A 4,966-nucleotide genomic window follows, 5' to 3' on the forward strand; every position below is an offset into this window, starting at 1 on the left:
ATTCATAGGAAATCTGCCCCCATGATTCAATCACTTCCCACCAGGCCCCAACTCTGACACTAGGGATTGCATTTCAACATGAGATTTGGGTGAAGACACTCATCCAAACCATATCATTGAGGTAATGATAATAGTCTAAATTATAGATACAAAAAATATAATAGTTGTTCCCAAGACATGGGGAGTGGGAGACATTGGGAATTATTTTTTTAATGACTATAGAGTTTCAGCTTTACAAGATCAAAAGAGTTATGGAGATATATGGTAATTGGATATTACAAATGTATTTAATACAACTGGGCTGTACGCTTAATAATAATGACAGTGGTAAATTTATATTACAACAACAAAATAAAAAGAAAAAATATACCTGATGATTTTTTAAAGTTTACGTATATACATACTATATGTGATATTTTTAGCCCTATACCTAGTACCTTTTCAGTAACTAGTAAAATTATATAATTATTACAGAAAAGTGCTATGAATTCTTATTTTATTTGGAGTCCACTCAGAGTCTTTAAATTCCATGAAAGATACCAGAAGCATATTTGTTGTATAGAGAGTAGAACAAACTTTACCCAACTTAGATGGCTTTTATGAATACCTTGATTCTAGCTACATGGCAGACATTCAGTTTTGTTATTTAAATTCAAAATTTAGTTAAGTAACACTGGTAACCATGTAGCTGAGGGAGTGAAGGGCTGATGGGTAAAAATACGACAGTAAAAGTATTTTAAACCATGCAGAAATCACATATTCAATTAGAATATGTGACTGCAAGTATGTAGCATAAAATGTTGAAATCACACATACATTTGGCTACATGTGTGATTCCACATTGGTATAATATCAAATAAGTTGACTTCGTCCCTGGCTCCCTGGAGGTAACTTCAAAATCTTTGAAGATTCTCTAATGATATGAGTGTTATTCATAATAGGCCCCTTAAACCAAATCTGAGATTAAAGTAATGAGATGACTAAGGATGGGTCACACCAGAAATAATAATGATGAGATTAGAACTTTCGAGCTTTTGAGCCAGATGATATCAGTCCTACCTCTGAGAAAGAAAGGAGGGATATTTTGTTCAAGCATGTGGCCAGTGATTTAATTAATCATGGCTAAGTACTGAAACTCTAAGTATATAAAAACTTTGAACAATAAGACTCCAGTGAGCTTCCTGATACACATGAATGTTACAGGAGGATGACACATCCTGAGGACAAGAAACTCCACATTTGGTATCTTGCAAGACTTCACCCTATGAGTCCCTTTATTTGGCTTGTTCTGACGTGGATTATTTTTAACAAAACTGTAATCATAAATTCAGTGATTTCCTGAGTTCTGTTAGCTGTTCTAGTAAGTTATCAAACCTGAGGTGATAGTGGGCACTGCCAAATTTCTAAAAAGTTGGTCAAAAGTGGTGCTTGCAGCTATCGTCTGAAGTAAGGATAAGCAGTCCGATGGAACTCTGCCCTTAACCTGAGAAGTCTGTGCCAACTCCAAGTAGTTACTGTACATACTGCATTGCAAACACTGAAAAAAAGTTCCTAAGTGTAAGCATCTCACAGATATGTCAGAAAATACAATATAATTTTTTAATTTTTAATTTTTTAATTTTTCATGAAATAAGTAACCATAATAACTTTTCAAAGGCAATATTTCACAGACAGTAAAATTATATATTTTAAATTACACACATAGTATTATCAAAACTTGAGATTTGTTGAAATAGGTTTTCTCTGATTCTCCTGAGAATAGTTGCAGGACCAGAAATTATCCATAGCATATTTTGAAATAAAGTAAAAATTAATGGTTTTTTTCAGAACAAGTTTTTAGAAATATGTAAAATAAAGTGGACATCATTTTAGTGACAACTCTAAAGTGTTGACAGCCAAGGTGGCAGGTAAATTGTTAATGTGTCTGAGAATTCCTAACATTATAACCTGGTTAGAATTTAGCATTAACAATAAATATGTTATATGCTATCAATATGAATATTTGCTGTTTAATCAATACAAGATTTAGAAGTTTGATTTGAAATTGTTTCATTTGGGAGGAAAGACAGTTTTAGTCCATATTTTAATATATAAAATATAAAATTGTATTCTCATTTTTAAATCTTTTTCAGCTCAATATTCTGTAACATGTTTTTCTTCTCAAGTAAAAAAATTCCTTTCCTTAATGAAACTAAAGGTTATTTCCTGGATGTCTATATATCTATCCCAGATGTTCAACAATTGGCAGGAGATTTTTGTCATGTAGAAATGAAGGTTAAATTTGGTGACGGTATTATTATTTATAAATTCAAATAAAAGCTGAATGCAAGTATTATATGAATAATCGGCACTAACAATAAGTAATAATAACAAGTTTTATTAAAATATTAAAAAAGAGCTATTTGTTAAGTGTGAGAACATTCATAGGGTCTTACGATTTTTATGGAGATTAACATTGCTAATTTTTCTGTTTTATATAAAAAGGATAAATTAATGTTTAATAGTAAATTATTTCATGAGAGCAAATATTTGTTTTTTGTAAGAATACATAAACGAACATAAAAATGAAATACTATGTGTAAAAAATCTAGAAAACATAAATTTTGAATTAAATGAACAAAAGGAAAGTTGATTGAAGGTCATCATTGTGGCTTGACCAAATAAAGTAGAGAATCCAGCTCAAAGGCTCTTATTCCACTCCCAGGTATCTTGGCAGCATTTAAGAAACATAAAATGATAAAATGAGACTTACTGCTTGAGGAAGCTTTAGGATATTGCTAGGCTCTTGCTTACTCTACTGATGCAGGTCAATTCTAGGTTAATTACAAATTCCATGTCAGTTATAAATCTTATAGTTCTATATCTCCACATGGCCTTTCCCCTTCTATATCTTGTCATCACTGCTTGGAAAGGACAATTTCATGAGAATTGTAGAAACTTACTTTGCTGACTCTGTGCATGAGCTGAACTCAAAGTATTCTATTGCTTTATTTGCTCTTCTTTGTCCTCTTTTATTGAAGAGAACACCAGTAGAGCAAATAATAGGCACCAGATGGGTTTCAGAATTCAAAAATTTGGAGAATGTAGTAAGACAATGCCATGTAAATTCTGTATTACATAAAATTTCTGGCAGGATCGGGGCAACATCCTGTAATCAAATCTATTGATAGTTTTTAGTAAAATATGTGAACATTTACGCAAACTAGGATACATAAAGACAGACTATGAATAACTTTATGTTTTTTCAAGGCCGACTTTGTCTCAAAATGAGTTTTGCCAAATTTTTATTTTTTGTATATTTTGGATTTCAGAATTTCGGTGAGATTATTATGTAATTGTACTACATTTTAAATGTATTATTATTTATTTTTTATAATTACCCCATGAGTGAAGTTTTTTGTTTTTTTTTTATTTTTGTTTTGTTTTATTTTTGAGACAAAGTCTCGCTCTGTTGCCCAGGCTGGAGTGCAGTGGCGCCATCTCAGCTCACTGCAAGCTCCGCCTGCCAGGTTCACCCCATTCTCCCGCCTCAGCCTCCCGAGTAGTTGGGACGACAGGCGCCCGCCATCACGCCTGGCTAATTTTGTTTTTGTATTTTTAGTAGACACGGGGTTTCACCGTGTTAGCCAGGATGGTCTCGATCTCCTGACCTCGTGGTCTGCCCACGTCGGCCTCCCAAAGTGCTGGGATTACAGGAGTGAGCCACCACGCCCGGGCAAGTGAAGTTTTATTATCACCTGTTGAGAAGTTTACTGACTTACCTAGAGTCATACAGCTACTAAATTGTCATGTAAGATTTAAAACCGTCTGACTTGAAAGCATATTGCATCAGCAACTGAACTATACTATTTTGCAATACGACTGAGACCTGAATGTATTTAAGAATATGCATGTGACACAGAACCAAAAAGTGAATTTAGGAAAATAGTGTATGGTTTCAGCAGAAATATTCTTTCAGTTGACAGACAATAGGCAAAGTTATTATTCAATGATAAATTCTACTATTTTCTGTGTCAATATGTATTACAATTACCAAAGACTACCAAAATATATGGTTTTTAGCTTGGTTCATCTTCGGGTCTCATGATTAAATATGAGAGTGTGGAACTTAGAGAAGATTATCTACTAGTAGATAAGTGGAGTTGTAAAACAAGGTAGAAATGTGTACTAGAACTTGACTTAATTGGAAGCCACTGTCAGTGGCCCATTAATATATCGTGGAAGGCTTTAGCTAAATGGGAAGGAAGGTAAAGAGTTTAAATGAGGCTGAAAATTATTAAAAGGTGTGTGCATTGACCTAATGTATGGGTATGTTTGAATATGTTTGGCTTATTCTGGAAGATTGTATATCCTTATGGAGAGTCTAGATTTTAGGAAACATAAATATTCTAGACACTGCTCTAGGTAAAATAGTATGGTTACAAGCATACTCTAAAAGTTAACACCCTCAAATCAAAGTTCACTAGTAACATATCTCTAATAGATTACAGTTGAGCATATTGACTCTTCACAATGAGGAAGAATGCGCAACATAGAAAGTCAGGGGGGGTGTCATTGAGAAGATACTTGAAAGTACTTATAGGATTTAAACTTATGTTAGATTATTTGAGGAAGGGTTCAAAAAAGCAGCCCTTTGATTTCGATACGATGCTATCAGGATAAGGGAATAATTTGGTTTCCCGATTACATCTTATCTAAATAGTTGGTAGAATGAAACTAAGCTAAAGCTGCAATAGGTAACAGGGCTGCAGTCACTCATGTTAGCTAGGATAGGAAAAAGGGATTTTTGTTTTTGTTTTTGTTTTTGTTTTTGCTTGTTTTTTGAACAATGTTCTTGCTTCTCTGAGTTCAGGCATTATTACAGAGTGTTTTTGTTTTTTTCTTAATCTGTCATGGTCACACAGTTATTATTTTGTGAACACTGAATTAGTGTTCAATGAAAATGTTTATATTCAAAGAGCACCAA

Source organism: Homo sapiens, chromosome 10 (assembly GCF_000001405.40).
Source record: "Homo sapiens chromosome 10, GRCh38.p14 Primary Assembly".
Classification (NCBI taxonomy): Eukaryota; Metazoa; Chordata; class Mammalia; order Primates; family Hominidae; genus Homo; species Homo sapiens.